This window comes from Homo sapiens, chromosome 2 (genome assembly GCF_000001405.40).
Source record: "Homo sapiens chromosome 2, GRCh38.p14 Primary Assembly".
NCBI classification, from domain to species: domain Eukaryota; kingdom Metazoa; phylum Chordata; class Mammalia; order Primates; family Hominidae; genus Homo; species Homo sapiens.
The window spans coordinates 109,812,756-109,830,807 of NC_000002.12; the positions used below are offsets into that span (position 1 = coordinate 109,812,756).

The window sequence follows — 18,052 nt, forward strand, 5'->3', positions numbered from 1 at the left end:
CCAACATAGTGAAACCCTGTCTCTACTAAAAATATAAAAAAAGTTTAGCGGGGCATGGTGGCAGGTGCCTGTAATCCCAGCTACTCAGGAGGCTGAGTCGGGAGAATCACTTGAACCTGGGAGGTGGAGGTTGCAGTGAGCTTAGATCGTGCCATTGCACTCCAGCCCAGGCGATAGTGAGAGACTCCGTCTCAAAAAAAAAAAAAAAAGACAATTTATTTAACGCTGTAATGATCTATATAGTAAAAAGAGCAATTGCTGTATTGATACTCAAATACCTGTCAGTTATTTACTTATAATTTGGAAATGGTATGTCTAATTTGAGAAATTACAACTGTTAATTAAATAATGAAATTATATGATCAGGAAGAAACTACAAAATAGTCTCCCAACTTTATCCTGGTTTATTTTGAAATGTGCACCTATAATCACTAATCTTATATTTATTCTGTGATTGGAGGGCTGGAAATAACTGGGAATAAGACATCATTTGAGAGGTTAAGCATGAAGTATAGGAAGTATGCAGGATAAAAATAAGCATTAGATGATTCATAATTTATAACATGGGGAATAAGAATTATTAGAAGTTGAATGTGGAAGATGAAGCTTGAAATAAAATTTTTATTTTGTTTTGAATTAAATCAACCATGATTATTCACAGTGCAGTAAGTGTGTATCATCTGTTTGATATTTTCATATTACAGTTTTGATAGTGCTCTTCAGTCTGCGAAATCTTCTTTGGGTGGAAATGATGAACTGTCAGCTACTTTCTTAGAAATGAAAGGACATTTCTATATGTATGCTGGTTCTCTGCTCTTGAAGATGGGTCAGCATGGTAATAATGTTCAATGGCGAGCTCTTTCTGAGCTGGCTGCATTGTGCTATCTCATAGCATTTCAGGTAAGTCTTCCACTTGTAGGAGCAATTGACATTTCACGGAGTCTTGATGTGTTTTAAATGAAGGTGTGCTCTGGTATGTAATGACAATATGTGAACAAACCTGTGGAATTAAAGTTAAAATGAAATAGTCAATTTGATACAGTGGAAAATAACTAAGCATACACAATACTGGTGAGGCTGGTGAAACAGGGATGTTGAATGCACTCTTGTCGAAAGCCTGCATTGCCATGATTTGTTTGTAGACAAATTTGAAGAGTTTGATCTTTTTACTCTGCCATTTTTGGGAACATGATAAAGATGTAATCTCGTATTATGGGTAAAGCTTGATTCAAAAAGATGTGTTACTTGGACAAAATCCTAATAAGTAGACGTAGGGCAATGGCTTTATAGCCTATGATAGAAGAATATGATTGCAATTTAACATGTTAATTGAAACACATGTATATAACATTTATGACTGTATTGTGTATATGTAACAGTATATCTATTAATCTTTGAAAACATAAAACCTTTTCTTATTTTTTATTTTTTTATTTTTTTTGAGACCAAGTCTCTCTCTGTCGCCAGGCTGGAGTGCAGTGGCGTGATCTCGGCTCACTGCAGCCTCCACCTCCTGGGTTCGAGTGATTCTCCTGCCTCAGCCTCCCGAGTAGCTGGGACTACAGGCCCATGCTACCAAGCCCAGCTAATTTTTTGTATTTTTAATAGAGATGGGGTTTCACCATGTTGGCCAGGATGGTCGCAATCTCTTGACCTCTTGATCTACCTGCCTTGGTCTCCCAAAGTGCTGGGATTACAGGCGCGAGGCACTGCGCCTGGCGCGCCTGGCTTTTTTTTTTTTTTTTTTTTTTTTTTGAGACGCAGTCTCGCTCTGTCGCCCAGGCTGGAGTGCAGTGGCACGATCTCGGCTCACTGCAAGCTCCACCTCCCGAGTTCACGCCATTTTCCTGCCTCAGCCTCCTGAGTAGCTGGGACTACAGGCACCCGCCACCATGCCTGGCTAATTTTTTTTTGTACTTTTAGTAGAGACGGGGTTTCACCGTGGTAGCCAGGATGGTCTCAATCTCCTGACCTAGTCATCCACCTGCCTCGGCCTCCCAAAGTGCTGGGATTTACAGACATGAGCCACCATGCCTGGCCTTTTTTTTTTTTTTTTTTTTTAATGAGCTTGCATAACTTTCGAAAGGAAAAGAAATAAGCAGTCTTCCAAAAAAACATTAAACCAGGCTTAGAAAGATGATTAATTTTAGAGAAGGATTTTTTGCTTGGGGAGGGAGAAAAAAGATTCATTACTTTTAGAGAAGGCCCCTCCTTCTAATATAAATCTTTTTTTCTTTTTGAGACGGAGTTTTGCTCTTGTTGCCCAGGCTGGAGTGCAATGGCGCCATCTGGCTCACTGCAACCTCCGCCTCCCGGGTTCAAGCGATTGTCCTGCTTCAGCCTCCCGAGTAGCTGGGATTACAGGCACATGCCACCACGCCCATCTAATTTTGTATTTTTAGTAGAGACGAAGTTTCTCTATGTTGGTCAGGCTGGTCTTGAGCTCCTGAACTCAGGTGATCTGCGCGTCTCGGCCTCTCAAAGTGCTGGGATTACAGGCAGTGAGCCAGCATGCCCTGCCTAATATAAATCTTTTTATTTTTATTTGAGACGGAGTCTCGCTCTGTCACAAGGCTGGAGTGCAGTGGCGCAATCTCAGCTCACTGCAACCTGTGTCTCCTGGGTTCAAGTGATTCTCTTGCTTCAGCCTGTCACGTATCTGGGATTACAGGCACACACCACCATGCCTGGCTAATTTTTTGTATTTTTTAATAGAGATGGGGTTTCACCATGTTAGCCAGGATGGTCTCGATCTTCTGACCTCGTGATCCACCCGACTCGGCCTCTCAAAGTGCTGGGATTACAGGCATGAGCCATTGAGCCCGGCCTGTAAATCTTTTAAAAACACCGTTGATAGACAGTTCACATGTTAAGTGCTAATATTTGCTCAGTAGAAACTTCTGTGTTCATAAGGAATGGATTAGTGAAAATTAATGGATTTAGTGAGGTTCACTAGGTAATACAAACATTAAAAGGTTCTTATAGAAATTCTCAAGTAACTGATAGTTCTTATTTTTATTTATTTTATTTTTTTTTGAGATGGAGTCTCACTCTGTCGCCCAGGCTGGAGCACAGTGGCACGACCTCGGCTCACTGCAAGCTCCGCCTCCTGGGTTCACGCCATTCTCCTGCCTCAGCCTCCCGAGTAGCTGGGACTACAGGCACCCACCACCACGCCTGGCTAATTTTTTTGTATTTTCAGTAGAGATGGGGTTTCACCGTGTTAGCCAGGATGGTCTCGATCTCCTGACCTCATGATCCGCCCACCTTGGCCTCCCAAAGTGCTGGCATTACAGGTGTGAGCCACCGCACCCTGCCAATAGTTCTTATTTTTAATGGAAACTTTAAAATTTATCTGTCTGTGTGTCTATTAGAGTCTTGCTGTGTCACCCAGGCTGGAGTGCAGTTGCGTAATCGTAGCTCACCGTAACATTGAACTGGGCTCGAGCTTCCCAGAGTGCTGGGATTATAGGTGTGAGCTACTGCGCACAGCCTACAATTTTTTGATATGTAGTTTTGGGAGGCAGAGTCTCACTCTTGCTCTGGCTGGAGTGCAGTGGCATGATCATAACTCACTGCATCCTCGAACTCCTGGGCTCAAGTGATCCTCTCCTGCTTCAGCCTCAGCTCAGTAGCTGGGACTACAGGTGCCTGCCACCATGCCTGGCTACATTGTTAAATTTTTTGTAAAGACAAGGTCTTGCTATGTTTGCCAGGCTGGTTGGTCTTGAACTCCTGGCTTCAAGTGATCCTTCTGCCTTGCCCTCCCAAAGTGCTGAGATTACAGGTATGAGCCACCACACCTGACTGTGAACTTTTAATCATAATAAGTTAGTTTCCCTCTTAATCCATTCACTCAGGTCTCCTTTCCTAGATGACAGCTACTGTTAGGAGTTTCTTGGGTGTTCAGAAATATTTTTTGCATATGCAAATGTGCAATACATTCTTTCTCTGCTTTTAAAAAATATTGTGCCTCAGTGTGGGTGTGCTTTACCTATTGCCAGATGCCTTGCTTTTCTAAATGTTTCTTCATTGTTCCACTTCAGCACAGAGATACCTACCTCAGTCTTTATTAACTACCACATATTTCTGTAGAATGAATATATAATAGAAACATCTTAGATGCTTGTATTTTATTTGATCAGTTTATTTTAAAGCTTAATGAACAAATGATTATAAGCATAAAATGTAGGTTATGTGCTGGCATTTGGGTATTTAAGAATTGGCTAACTTTTATGGCAAGATTTTCAGACTCTTAATCAGAGGAATACTGTGGTTCTAGTAAGTGCATCTGCATTGCAGCTAGGTAGTTAACAAAGTATCTTGAAACCTTTTAGTTAAGATGAGGAAATAGCCAGGCGTGGTGGCTCACACCTATAATCTTAGCACTTTGGGAGGCTGAGGCGGGCGGATCGCTTAAGGTCAGGAGTTTGAGACCATCCTGACCAACATGGTCAAACCCCATCTCTAGTAACAATACAAAAATTAGCCACGCATGGTGGCGGGTGCCTGTAGTCCCAGCTACTTGAGAGGCCGAGACAGGAGAATTGCTTGAAACCAGGAGGCGGAGGTTGCAGTGAGCCGAGATCGTGCCACTGCAGCACTCCAGCCTGGCGACAGAGCGAGACTCCATCTCAAAAAAAAAAAAAAAGGAAATAGTGAATTGAGATGATTTGATTGAGTGGATTCACAACTAATTAACTGGTCACAGATTCAACTGTTGAATAATTTTGTAAAAGAGGCCGGGTTTATGAATTGAGGTCAGTTTGAAAACAAAAAGAATGATGTCAACATTTTGTTTCTTACTTTGTGTGCTCTTTTCAACATATAGATGACAAACTTTGACATGATGTTTAGAAAACTTGTGAGTAAAAGGATAGGCGATACGAATATTTCTAAAATTCAAAATCAGAAGCTTTTAGGTTCATAAATCATATATTTTGAAAAATGAGCATGTTTGGAAAGAATTATATATACATGGTTTAAAATTCTGGCGGCTCTTAAGAATATGCTATGAAGACTCCTTTCTGTTCCCTAGTTATTTACTTTCTCCACCCCCAAAGAAACTAATGTTATTGCTTTCTTGTGTGTTCTTCAGGAAATGTTTTATGCATCTCCAAGTAAACACACATATATCCCCTGTCTTTAAAAGAAGGAGGAAAACATTTGAACATTGCATTTACTTTATTTCCATTAACTGTATCTTGGAGATGTTTCCATGTCAGTATATATAAAGGGCATTCTCATTAGTTTGGATGCTTGCATATTATTCCATTGTATGGATGTACTGTAGTTTTGGAGTTTTTAAAACCAGGGTCCTAAAACCAGGACATTAGCTTGCTTTTACTTTTGTTTTAAATGCTACTTCAAGTAATTTAGCAATGATTAACTTGTGCCATGAATTCCTGAAAGAATTGCAGTATCAAAGTATATCTGTGCATTTATAATTTTTAGAGCTGTTGCCAAATATCTAACCCTAAAGAGGTTGTATCAAATTACATTTCCACCACCAATTAAGAAAGTGGTGATAGAATTAAAAGCCGATGCTCTAGTCACCCATATAGTTACTTTTGGCATGTTTCTAGTAAGCGGGCATTGCCTATGACTGGACGTTTTCAGTGATGGACATTCATTACTTTTCAAGATAGCCCAGTGCATCTTTAGGTGGTTTGGCTCTTGGTACTTCCTTATATAGAATAAAAATATTCTTCAAGCCTTCTACCTGTTGGTCTTGTTTCTTCTTTTGATGATTTCTTTTATAAAATAATTTTAATATTTGAAGGCAGCTGTCACGTCTTCCCTTCGCCATTCTATTCATCATGCTTTTTTTTTCTTCCATAGGTTATTGCATGAGGATCTCTTTAATTTCCTGGTTGTCCCATTTATTCTAGTGCTATCCCCTATTATCCATACTCTGAAAATGTGTTATCTACAATGTGGCATTTCCAAGTGTCATTTCACCTGTGCTTTTTAAAGTAGGGTGTCATATCTACTCAAATAGGACAACATCTGCTGTTGTCCTATTTATGCAGGGTAGAAAAGTAATGTAATTAAATTTTCCATTTCTCTGAATGTAACATGAATGTGCTTTTAGTAGAAACTAATTTCTCAGAGCTGCTCTGTGTATGCTTTTTTTTTTTTTTTCTTTTTTTGGAGATAGGGTCTCACACTGTCGCCCAAGCTGGAGCACAGTGGCATGATCATGGCTCACTGCAGCCTTGACCTCCTGGATTTAAGTGATCCTCCTGCCTCAGCCTCCTGAGTAGCTGGGACCACAGGTGTGTGCCACCACGCCTGGCTAATTAAAAAAAAACTTTTTTTAGAGATAGGGTCTCACCGTGTTGTTCAGGCTGGTCTTGAACTCTGGGCTCAAGTGATCCCCCCACCTCGGCCTCCCAAAGTGCTGGGATTACAGGTGTGAACCAACATGTCTGGCCCCTCTTTTTTTTTTTTTTTTTTGCGATGGAGTCTCGCTCTTTCACCCAGGCTGGAGTGCAATGGCGCAGTCTCGGCGCACTACAACCTCTGCCTCCCAGGTTCAAGCTATCCTTGTGCCTCAGCCTCCCGTGTAGCTGGAATTAATAGGTGTGTGCCACCACGCCTGGCTCTTTGTTTTTTTTTTTATTATTTTTAGTAGAGACTGGGTTTCACCATGTTGGCCAGGCTGGTCTCGAACTCCTGACCTCAAGTGATCAGCCCACCTTGGCCTCCCAGAGTGTTGGGATTACAGGTGTGAGCCACCACGCCTGTACCTGGCCTATCTTTCATAGGTTATATAAATTCCTTGGTTCCCAGTTTTTGCAGTCTTTTCCAATTCAGTTTAATTAATGGTTAACTGTTTATTCATTATCAAAAAAAGTACAGTGTAATAGATAAGACCATGTTACTATTAGAAGTATGGGTATCATCAAATTAAGATTTTTGATTCTAAAATTATTAGGTTCCAAGACCAAAGATTAAATTAAGAGAAGGTAAAGCTGGACAAAATCTGCTGGAAATGATGGCCTGTGACCGACTGAGCCAATCAGGTAATAGTAATATTAAACTAATTTAATTTAAAAAGAAAAAGGAATTTCTGTTAAGGCATATCTTATGATAAAATCTTCATCTGTCCAGGAGATAATTTGTCAAAATTATTTCTTTTTGCCGTATCAGTTAAGAGCAATAGGTATGGAAGAGATGCGAAGAAATAGCACATTCTTTTAAAAAAATGAATATTTGATATTGTTTGTTCCTATGTGGAGAGGATTTCTTAACTCTTTCTTCATCTGGCTGCTAGAGCCTCTATCCTGAATATTTAGTCACTTCCTGAACTAAGTATAATTATTGATTTGCCAACCATTTAACACCAGCTGATTCTAAAAACACTGCTGTGGGGATATAAAGATGAAGAAGATACGGATCTGTCTTAAAGAGCTGAGAGCATAGTGAGGAAGATAGAAGATATATACTTACCTTATATTAGGCTCTTGGAATTTGTGGATTTTTTCCCCCATTTTTGGCTTGGGATGAATCCTAAAGGTCTGTTGCATATTACCTGTGATTTTGCTAAGATACAAACTTTAAGGTAGTTAGATGGCCATTGAATCAAGCAGTGAACTGAAGAAACATAATGCTTTCTATAAGGAGCAGTTTTGATATAAAATTGGATGAATTTTGTAAAGAGCAAGATGTAATATTAAATCAAAGTTATTATAAGCTTTGGTGTATAGTTAGGCTGTTGGCCAGAGCTCACATTGCTCTTTTATTCCATAGCCCACTTTTTTTGTGGGAGTTAGGCTTTCAGTCCTTAAAGTGACTTTCTACTTTTTCCCTTTTCTCTTTTCCTTCTACCCTTGCAGGGCTCTCATAAGTGCCTTTGCATGGTGTCACAGTTAGATAAAAATTGCCTGTATCTTTTTTTTATGTCTTTGATCTGGGCATTCCGAGGGTGCCTCTGTAAGTGTGCTGAGACACAACTGTGTAGTGGTAACCAAACCTAATTGCCCAGCAGAATTAACTCGAAGGAGGGTTTTTAAAAAAAGTTCAATTGAAATATAATTCGTATACCATACGCTTCACCCATTTAAAGTGTACAGTTCAGTGGCTTTTACTATGTTCATAGAGTATTACCACTGTCACCACAGTCAGTTTTAGAAGATTTTCATCACTCCGTGAGGAATTCCTTACCTATTAGCAGTTACTCCCCATTTTACCCAAACCTCTCAGCCTTGGCAACCGCTAATCTGTCTCTGTAGGTTTGCCTCTTCTGAACATTTCACATAAATGGAATCATAGTATGTGGTCTTTTGTGACTGGCTTCTTTGATTTAGCAAGGTTTTCAAGGTTCATCTGTGTTGTAGCATGTATCAGTACTTTATCCGAGGACTATGATTTTTTGATTGCTTACTGTAAACCTATGGCATAAAAATCTCTGGGAACAAGGCCTGGAAATAATTCTTTTTTTTTTTTTTTTTTCCTGAGACAGTCTTACTCTGTCGCCCAGGCTGGAGTGCAGTGGCGTGATCTCGGCTCACTGCAAGCTCCGCCTCCCGGGTTCACGCCATTCTCCTCCCTCAGCCTCCCCAGTAGCTGGGACTACAGGCACCCGCCACCAGGGCCGGCTAATTTTTTTTTTTTTTTTTGTATTTTTAGTAGAGATGGGGTTTCACTGTGTTAGCCAGGATGGTCTTGATCTCCTGACCTCATTATCCACCCAGCTTGGCCTCCCAAAGTGCTGGGATTACAGGCATGAGCCACCGTGCCCAGCTGGAAATAATTCTTAAAAGCTGTTTAAAGGAGGATTCTGATCAGCCAGGTTCAGAAATCAGTGTATCAGATCAGAGAATAAGAGCTTGTCCCTGTTCTCCTATGGCCACTTAAATCCAGACCTTTTCATCTAAAGTGCAAATATGTTTGGCATTTTTCATACACATTCCTGTCTTTTTTCCCCGTTCTGCTGTCTTATGTAGATACTGAGAATATTAAACCTGTACTCTTTTCATTTGCTACATAAGCACCCATTTTGTTGTCCAGCTGTATTTTTTGGGTTGGAGGGTTAGGTTTGCAATAATCATGTTATTTCCCCTTTGGGTATACAAATGAGACAACGTGAGCAAATACAATCTGTATTTTTAAAGTGATGGAAATAACTTAAATTTTTTTTTCAGGGCACATGTTGCTAAGCTTAAGTCGTGGCAAGCAAGATTTCTTAAAAGAGGTTGTTGAAACTTTTGCCAACAAAATTGGGCAGTCTGCGTTATATGATGCTCTGTTTTCTAGTCAGTCACCTAAGGATACATCTTTTCTTGGTAGCGATGATATTGGAAAAATTGATGTACAAGAACCAGAGCTTGAAGATTTGGCTAGATACGATGTTGGTAAGTTATATGTTTCAGAGGAAATGGTCTCCGTCTTAATTCTTATAAATTGCCCATAATCTTATTACCCAGAAATAACGACTTAATATTTTCCTGTATTCCTTTTGTGTGTGGGTTGGGCTGGGGGGAGTTTGAATGTGGTGCTGTGGGGGTGGCATGTATTTTTTGTTGTTGTTGTTGTTGTTTTTGAGACCAAGTTTTGCTCTTGGCGCCCATGCTGGAGTGCAGTGGTGCGATCTCGGCTCACTGTAACCTCTGCCTCCCTGGTTCAAGTGATTCTGCTGCCTCAGTCTCCCAAGTAGCGGGATTACAAATGCCCGCCACCACGCCCGGCTAATTTTTTGTATTTTTAGTAGAGACGGGGTTTCATCATGTTGGTCAGGCTGGTCTCAAACTCCTGACCTCAGGTGATCCACCTGCCTTGGCCTCCCAAAGTGCTGGGATTACAGGTGTGAGCCACTGCGACCAGCCTTGTTGTATTTTGAGACAGGGTCTCGCTGTGTCACCTGGGCTGCAGTGTAGTGGCATGATCGTAGGTCACTGGTGCCTTGAACTTCTGGGCTCAAGGGATTCTCTTGCCTCAGCCTCCTGAGTAGCTGGTACCATAGGCACATGCCACTCGGCCCAGATAATTTTTTTTTTAATTGGCAGAGACAGGGTCTCCCTTTGTTGCCCAGGCTAGTCTCCAACTCCTAGGCTCAAGTGATCCTCCTGCTTAAGCCCCCCAAAATGTTGGGATTAGGCCCGGCACAGTGGCTCATATCTGTAATCCCAGCACTTTGGGAGGCCGAGGCGGGCAGATCACCTGAGATCAGGAGTTCGAGACCATCCTGGCCAACATGGTGAAACCCCGTCTCTACTAAAAATACAAAAATTATCCGGGGGTGGTGGCATGTGCCTGTAGTCCCTACTCAGGAGGCTGAGGCAGGAGAGTCCTTCAACCCGGGAGGTGGAGGTTGCAGTGAGCCAAGATCACACTGCTGCACTACAGCCTGGGCGACAGAGCGAGACTTCGTCTCAAAAACAAAAAGTGTTGGAATTATAGGCATGAGCCACTGCATCTGGCCATATTTTTCATCTAAATGGTTGTTTATGTATGATTTATCTTGCTTCCTTCATGAATTCTCTCCCATAGTCTGTGTATTAAAACTATAAATATCACTTTTATTGGCAATATAATCTTTTTTATGAAGTAGTCATAATTTGCTTGCTACTTTCTGTTATTGGGCATCCAAGTTTTCTCAACTTTTCCACTGTTAATAATCATACTCTGATAAAAACTTCAACAAAAAGTGTCTTCATTGCAAGTTATTTCCATAGAGATACCTAAAAACAGAATTACTGAGACAAAGGACATGAACATCTTTAAGTCTTGCAAATTGCCAAAATGACAGAAAGATTATACCTCTTCATGCTTCCAGAAGCGCATAACCTTTTCTTTTCTTTTCTTTTCTTTTCTTGTTTTTGAGACAGAGTCTCGCTCTGTCACCCAGGCTGGAGCGCAGTGGCGCAATCTCGGCTGCCAGGTTCAAGCAATTGTCTTGCCTCGGCCTCCCAAGTAGCTGGGACTATAGGCATGTGACACCGTGCTCGGCTAATTTTTTGTATTTTTAGTAGAGACGGAGTTTCACCATGCTGGCCAGGCTGGTCTCGAACTCCTGACTGCGCATAACATTTTCAATATTGACTTTCTTGTAGAAAAACAGATTTCTTTACTGTACCGATGGATTAATATAGTGGTGTTCCATTGCTTTAATGACTTAAAGCAAAACCCATTGTTTTGGGGTTTCTTATTAGGTTAGGTGTTCTTTATTTGGCTTTTGTCAGTTGATTTTGGTTTATTGAGTTCTAGTCAGTGTCATTTTTTAAGATGGACTTAAACATTCTTCATCACTACTATTTTTATTAAAATTTCTAGAAATAATCAAGTGAGAATGCATTTAATAAGAACATGAGATTTTGCCTAACATAGAATTCCCTCCAGCTTTGATATAGAAAAGCAGTTATATAATTAAGATATATATAATGTGAATTGTTTATGTTGGCAAAACTAATGGCACAAAGAAAAATTTCAAACCCTTAAGCCAATTTTTAAATTTTATTTCAGGTGCTATTCGAGCACATAATGGTAGTCTTCAGCATCTTACTTGGCTTGGCTTACAGTGGAATTCATTGCCTGCTTTACCTGGAATCCGAAAATGGCTAAAACAGCTTTTCCATCGTTTGCCCCATGAAACCTCAAGGCTTGAAACAAATGCGCCTGAATCAATATGTATTTTAGATCTTGAAGTAAGCAAAGATTTTAACAAATTAAATATTCTGAATTTTGTTTAATTTTTTTTTCTAACTTAACTTTTCCTTAAATGAAACAGGTATTTCTCCTTGGAGTAGTATATACCAGCCACTTACAATTAAAGGAGAAATGTAATTCTCACCATAGCTCCTATCAGCCGTTATGCCTGCCCTTTCCTGTGTGTAAACAGCTTTGTACAGAAAGACAAAAATCTTGGTGGGATGCGGTTTGTACTCTGATTCACAGAAAAGCAGTGTAAGTAGTAAAACAAAAATATTGCTTTCACTTAGTGCGTAGGTTTTACCGGGGATTTAATCCTCGTGTGAAGATTTAATTTGTCATGTGACCCATTAACATATATGTATGTAAGCGCTGAACTGTGTATTTAGAAAGCAATTTTAGTAAATTGAACTATTTTTTAGACCTGGAAACTTGGCAAAATTGAGACTTCTAGTTCAGCATGAAATAAACACTCTAAGAGCCCAGGAAAAACATGGCCTTCAACCTGCTCTGCTTGTACATTGGGCAAAATACCTTCAGAAAACGGTGAGTTTTAAAGTATAAGCATTTTTAATGAACATTACCTTAATTTTTTAAAATCATGAACTTTTTATTGAAAGTTTTTTTGTTCTGAAAACAGCAGCTTGGTCATATTATGACAGATGTGTTTTTTATTGCTGCAAAATAGTTAATGTAGTTAAATATAAGCACTTAGAGGAGCAATGCCTGGCACACAGTGAATGTTACATATTAGCTGAGCTGTTACTGTTATTCCTTAATAATTAAGTTCTGATAATTATTCAGCCTGAAAATTAAAAAAAAAATTAGCACAAGGCTTTGTAGGTAAGACCATTATAGATCTTTCTAAATATTTAAGGTGTGTTTTGTGTCACCATTAGGTGTAGATGGTCAGCCTTTTGAACAAACTGACACTACAGAAGAGGCAGGTTTCAGCTATCTAAAAAGGACAACTGTTAAAAAGTAGTTTGGATTGCTACGTTAGAGTGGTATCATTAGAAGCATTTAAAAGTTGAGTGTAGAGGCCGGGTGCGGTGGCTCACACCTGTAATCCCAGCACGTTAGGAGGCCGAGGCGGGCAGATCACAAGGTCAGGAGGTCGAGATCATTCCTGGCTAACACGGTGAAACCCCGTCTCTGCTAAAAATACAAAAAAAAACTCTACTAAAACTACAAAATTAGCCAGACATGGTGGCAGGTGCCTGTAATCCCAGCTACTTGGGAAGCTGAGGCAGGAGAATTGCTTGAACCTGCACGGCAGAGGTTGCAGTGAGTTCACTGGTATTAAGGTGGTTTAGTTATTACAGTATTTGGAAGTTGAACAAATGACTATTGAGGTACCATTTGGTTTTGACTTGAAATTTTAGCCAGTTCTTACAACTTGTAAATGAACTTTAGATCTAATCATGCGTGTTCCTTAAAGTTGTGTGCTTTTAACTTTCTTTTTTAGGGCAGCGGTCTTAATTCTTTTTATGGTCAACTAGAATACATAGGGAGAAGTGTTCATTATTGGAAGAAAGTTTTGCCATTGTTGAAGATAATAAAGAAGAACAGTATTCCTGAACCTATTGATCCTCTGTTTAAACATTTTCATAGTGTAGACATTCAGGTAACAGAGTTCCTTTATGAATTTATTGGAGATGGGAATTTCCAGTTTATAAACAAAGACGTGGAGCTATAAACTGCTTAAATTAATTGCCTTGTTATTTAACGGTAATCTTGTTTTCTAAATTCACTAGCTCTCACAGATAAGATATGACAGAGAAGAGTAATGAGATGTTTGTCTCTTAAGATCATATAAAATCTTTGGAAAATCATTTGGGTTTTATATTCTGAGTATAAACAATTTGACTAAAAACTATTCTATGTGTTTAGGCATCAGAAATTGTTGAATATGAAGAAGACGCACACATAACTTTTGCTATGTTGGATGCAGTAAATGGAAATATAGAAGATGCTGTGACTGCTTTTGAATCTATAAAAAGTGTTGTTTCTTATTGGAATCTTGCACTGGTAAGTAGATGCAGTACTTGAGCTAAAAGTTGTATTTATTTATTTATTATTTTTTTTAAAAGACGGGGTTTCTCTGTTGGCCAGGCTAGAGTGCAGTGGCACAATCTTGGCTCACTGCAACCTCTGCTTCCCAGGCTCAAGCGATTCTTGTGCCTCAGCTCCCGAGTTGCTGGGATTACAGGCATGAGCCACCATGCGTGGCCAAGCTGAAAGTTTTTTGTTTTAAAAAGCTAATGATTTCATGAAAGCACTATTTGTATAGATTTTTCACAGGAAGGCAGAAGACATTGAAAATGATGCCCTTTCTCCTGAAGAACAAGAAGAATGCAGAAATTATCTGACAAAGACCAGGGACTACCTAATAAAGATTATAGATGACGGTGATTCAAATCTTTCAGTGGTCAAGAAAGTAAGTAGCAGGTTGTTGTATGTACGTTCTTACTGATAACCCACTGGTCAGTGTTTTTGCGTTGGTCTTATATTTTGGTAATTTCAAAAATACTCAGTAATATGTTGTTATTAATGCACAGAAGGGATGCGTGTGTCTAAATGCTTAGATTTGCTTGCTTTGTCTTAGGTTTGGTGTGTCTTTTTAAACTTGGGAATCTAGGTATATGCTCTTAAAAAGTACTTCTTGGGGAATTAGAAAAGATTTCTAAGATAAGACATTGATTTTGTTATCTTAGCAGTGTAATCAAAACAAATATTATAACCTCAGGACTAATTCTTAATGAACTTTGCTGAAATTGAAAGTTGTTGCTGACAACTTAAGAGCATTTCTTCTCATCGTCATCAGCCATTATGAACGCCCTTGTTTTCTTGCTGTCAGCTGTTTGAGATTGTCATGATGATGTTAAATTATGTTCAGTCTTCTGAGTGTTTTGTTGATTAATTTGTGTTACTACTCTTTTATTAGGATTTATGTTGTCTGGTGTATTGTAGCATCTGTATTTCTGTCACCATTGAAAATCAGTTAGAAAACATCAGTAACTTATTTTGTTCACTTGGAAAAGCTTTCCAAGTTAACATTCCTCTACAATTATCATGGTTAACAGAAGTAATAGAAAGAGCATGGACTTTAGAATCAGAAGATGTTAGACTGTACAACACTTTTCTGTGTTCCTGAAGAAAAAAATAGAATAAAGACAAAAAAATAAAAATAATAATACAAAACAACAGAAAAACAAAGAAAAAAGATAATTAAAAAACACTTTCACGTGTATTATTATTTAAAGTGTAAAGTGCTTATTAAAGTGACAAAAATGTAAATAAGATAAAATATATCATTTTAGAGTTTTTACTTTTGGAATTTTTTGCAAATGAAAGCCCTTAATTAATGTCTTTTATTTTTAGTTGCCTGTGCCCCTGGAGTCTGTAAAACAGATGCTTAATTCAGTCATGCAGGAACTCGAAGACTATAGTGAAGGAGGTCCTCTCTATAAAAATGGTTCTTTGCGAAATGCAGATTCAGAAATAAAACATTCTACACCGTCTCCTACCAAATATTCACTATCACCAAGTAAAAGTTACAAGGTAAACAGGAAAGAATGGAATCATTTCATTGTGAAATTGTTTCTGTTCTAAGTGTTTTAAATGCTGTTTTGTTATTTTTATTTTTTTTTTCAGTATTCTCCCGAAACACCACCTCGATGGACAGAAGATCGGAATTCTTTACTGAATATGATTTGCCAACAAGTAGAGGCCATTAAGGTAAGTCACTTAATTTCTCTAGCTGTACTTTTTATTCCAAGATTCCTTCCCTGGCTACTCTCTCACTTTTTTTCTGAAGCTGGTCAGAATGTCCCCTTGCCATCCAAATAGTATGGCAAGGGGACATTTTGGTCTTTTTTTTTTTTTTTTAAGACAAGGGTCTTGTTCTGTTGTGCAGGCTGGAGTACAGTGGTATGATCACAGCTTACTGCGGCTTCAACCTCCTAGCTCAAGAGAGCCTCTTGGCTCAGCCTGCCACGAAGCCAGGACTACAGACAGTCACATGCCACCAGGCCCAGCTAATTGTTGTATTTTTTGTAGAGATGGGATTTTGCCATGTTGCCCAGGGTGGCCTTGAACTCCTGGCTCAAACAATCCTCCTGCTTCAGCCTCCCAAAGTGCTGGGATTGCAGGTGTGAGCCACTGTGCCCAGCCTACATACCTCGGTCTTGACCCTTTACCATATTTTGTTTTGTTTTGTTTTGAGATGGAGTCTCACTCTGTTGCCCAGTCTGGAGTGCAATGGTGTGATCTTGGCTCACTGCAACCTCCACCTCCCAGGTTCAAGTGACTCTCCTGCCTCAGCCTCCCGAGTAGCTGGGATTACAGGCACCCGCCACCAGGCCCAGCTAATTTTTGTATTTTTAGTAGACACAGAGTTTCACCATGTTGGCCAGGCTGGTTTTGAACTTCTGACCTCAGGTGATCTGCCCACCTTGGCCTCCCAAAGTGCTGGGATTACAGGTGTAAACCACCGCACCCAGCCCTTTACCATATTTTTGAAAGTACTTTATGTGTCTCTCTCCTCATCTTCCACAAAATTTGAGACCTTCAAAGGTAGAAACTGTTTTATTTAAAATATAAGAGTTCCTGACACAGAGAAGGTTCCCGAGTGATTGAAGTGCTACAATGTACTAATCATACTCTGGTCTATGAGTTCATTCCCAGATTAGCTGTGGATTACATGTGTTTCAAATGTATAGCTAGGAATCGAAAAGTGGTCTGAGCTTCAAAAAGTCTTACTATATTTTAATACTTCCATATGAATTTGACTTAATTATGTAAGGAAATAGTTATGTATATATATCTTATTTTAACAATAGGGTTCAAAGGAGCTTGACTTTTTTGGAATTGGAAATAAAAGTAGGTTCTTTCATGTTTATCAAGCAAGAACTAAATTACTCATACTGCTAAAGTTACATCAAGGATATGCTGATGTGTGGCGATTATTACAGTGTGATCAGCAGCATTTGCAAATTAAGAGAATACTATTTGGTGGGGAAGACATTTTTGAATTTGCACAAAAATTTTGAATGTTAATTCTGTGTAGTCGTGGCCTATGACAATTACATACAATTTTGACTTAACATACAGGTTTCAGGCTCCCAACATTGTATTCTGTGGAAGTATAGTGGAGCACTAGTCCATGAGCTTGAAAAGCTTGGTACTAGTACTGACTCTGCCATTAATTAATGATCTTGGGCCAGTCACTTCCTTTGTGACTGTTTGGCTTCTTATCTTTAAAATGAGAGAATTATTGAAGCCAGTTCTCATCACACTGAATGTTAAAAATTACAGTTACAGCAGTGATTGCAAATTCAAAGCTCTGGTGCGGATACCAACAGTGACTATAAAGTTTTCTAGGTGATTCCACTAGTTTCTTATTTCTTGGATGTGTATGTGTAGCATCTGGACTAGGCACTGTAGATGGATGAATGGGGGAAATTTTATTTAGCTTGAAAATTGAGATAGTTTTGGACCTCATGGTTAGGTCTTTCTGGGAAATTTTTAATTGAAACACTTGTAGAAACAGAAAGCAGACATGCTAGATCTGTCCCTGACCTCACTTGTTAGAACTGATCGGATTCCTGGGCTGATACAGAGAAGTTTGAAACTTTTCAAAATTTACCTGTTTTCTGATACCACTACAATTTCTTTGGAAAAAGAATTTCCTGTTAAGTGTCTGTTTTGTAAGGGGACATTTTGTAGGTTCTAGGGTGTTGGGTATGGTGCTGTCATTTAGTTTTCTTCAGCAGAGATCAAGTAGCCACATAGCTACACTAGACGGCATTGGATCTATCTGCCATCTTGTCAAGGCAGCAGAGTTGTGTTAAGAAAACATTTTTGGAGTCAGATGTGTTTCAAATTCCAGCTGTTATTCCCTGCATCCGTTTCTCTCATTTTAAGATAGGAGCTAATATTGTTTACCTAACAGTGTAGATGGTGTAAAAATTAAGAGTTTAAGTGCATTGGACGTATTATTATATACATAATAAATTCTCTGCAGCTACTACTTTTTTCCCTTTCCTGGTGGAGCATTTGAACATCACCTTGAGAATTAGTTGTATTTTGTTTGAACACAGGGTTAAGTGAAAAGCTAATTTGGGGAGGTGATTTGGAATGTCAGGTAGTCCAGGTTGCAGTGTAGAAAGAACACACTGAAAGGATGGTCAGTGTAATGTTAGAGGACTGTGAAAGTTGGGGAAAGAAGTTTAGTTTGTAGGTACTTGTTTTTTTGAGCAGGGAATTGTCTTGGCTGGAGGTGAACGTCAGAAAGGTTAATGTAGGCAAGTGTAGAATGGAAATGAAGGTGTGATCATTTAGGAGGTTATTTGTTTAGGTGAGAGAGTTAATGAATTAGGTTTTGTATTAACGAATG

General features: G+C 39.2%; 2 protein-coding genes across 6 annotated transcripts in view; both read left to right on the forward strand.

Annotated features, from left to right (window-relative positions):
- The window catches only part of RANBP2 (RAN binding protein 2), a 1,122,820-nt gene that overhangs the window by 1,093,274 nt on the left and 11,494 nt on the right, over positions 1–18,052 (forward strand). The gene's annotated exons all lie outside the window — the stretch shown is intronic.
- RGPD5 (RANBP2 like and GRIP domain containing 5) overlaps positions 1–18,052 on the forward strand; it is a 97,088-nt gene that overhangs the window by 52,138 nt on the left and 26,898 nt on the right. For all 5 annotated transcript variants that reach the window (XM_006712794.5, XM_047445980.1, XM_017005081.3 and 2 more), the window contains 11 exons: positions 705–900; positions 6,941–7,028; positions 9,150–9,359; positions 11,467–11,648; positions 11,732–11,907; positions 12,075–12,198; positions 13,121–13,279; positions 13,546–13,683; positions 13,946–14,092; positions 15,037–15,216; positions 15,310–15,393. In XM_006712794.5, coding sequence (XP_006712857.2) covers positions 705–900; positions 6,941–7,028; positions 9,150–9,359; positions 11,467–11,648; positions 11,732–11,907; positions 12,075–12,198; positions 13,121–13,279; positions 13,546–13,683; positions 13,946–14,092; positions 15,037–15,216; positions 15,310–15,393 — 1,684 coding nt within the window. The remainder of the gene's footprint in view (positions 1–704; positions 901–6,940; positions 7,029–9,149; positions 9,360–11,466; positions 11,649–11,731; positions 11,908–12,074; positions 12,199–13,120; positions 13,280–13,545; positions 13,684–13,945; positions 14,093–15,036; positions 15,217–15,309; positions 15,394–18,052) is intronic.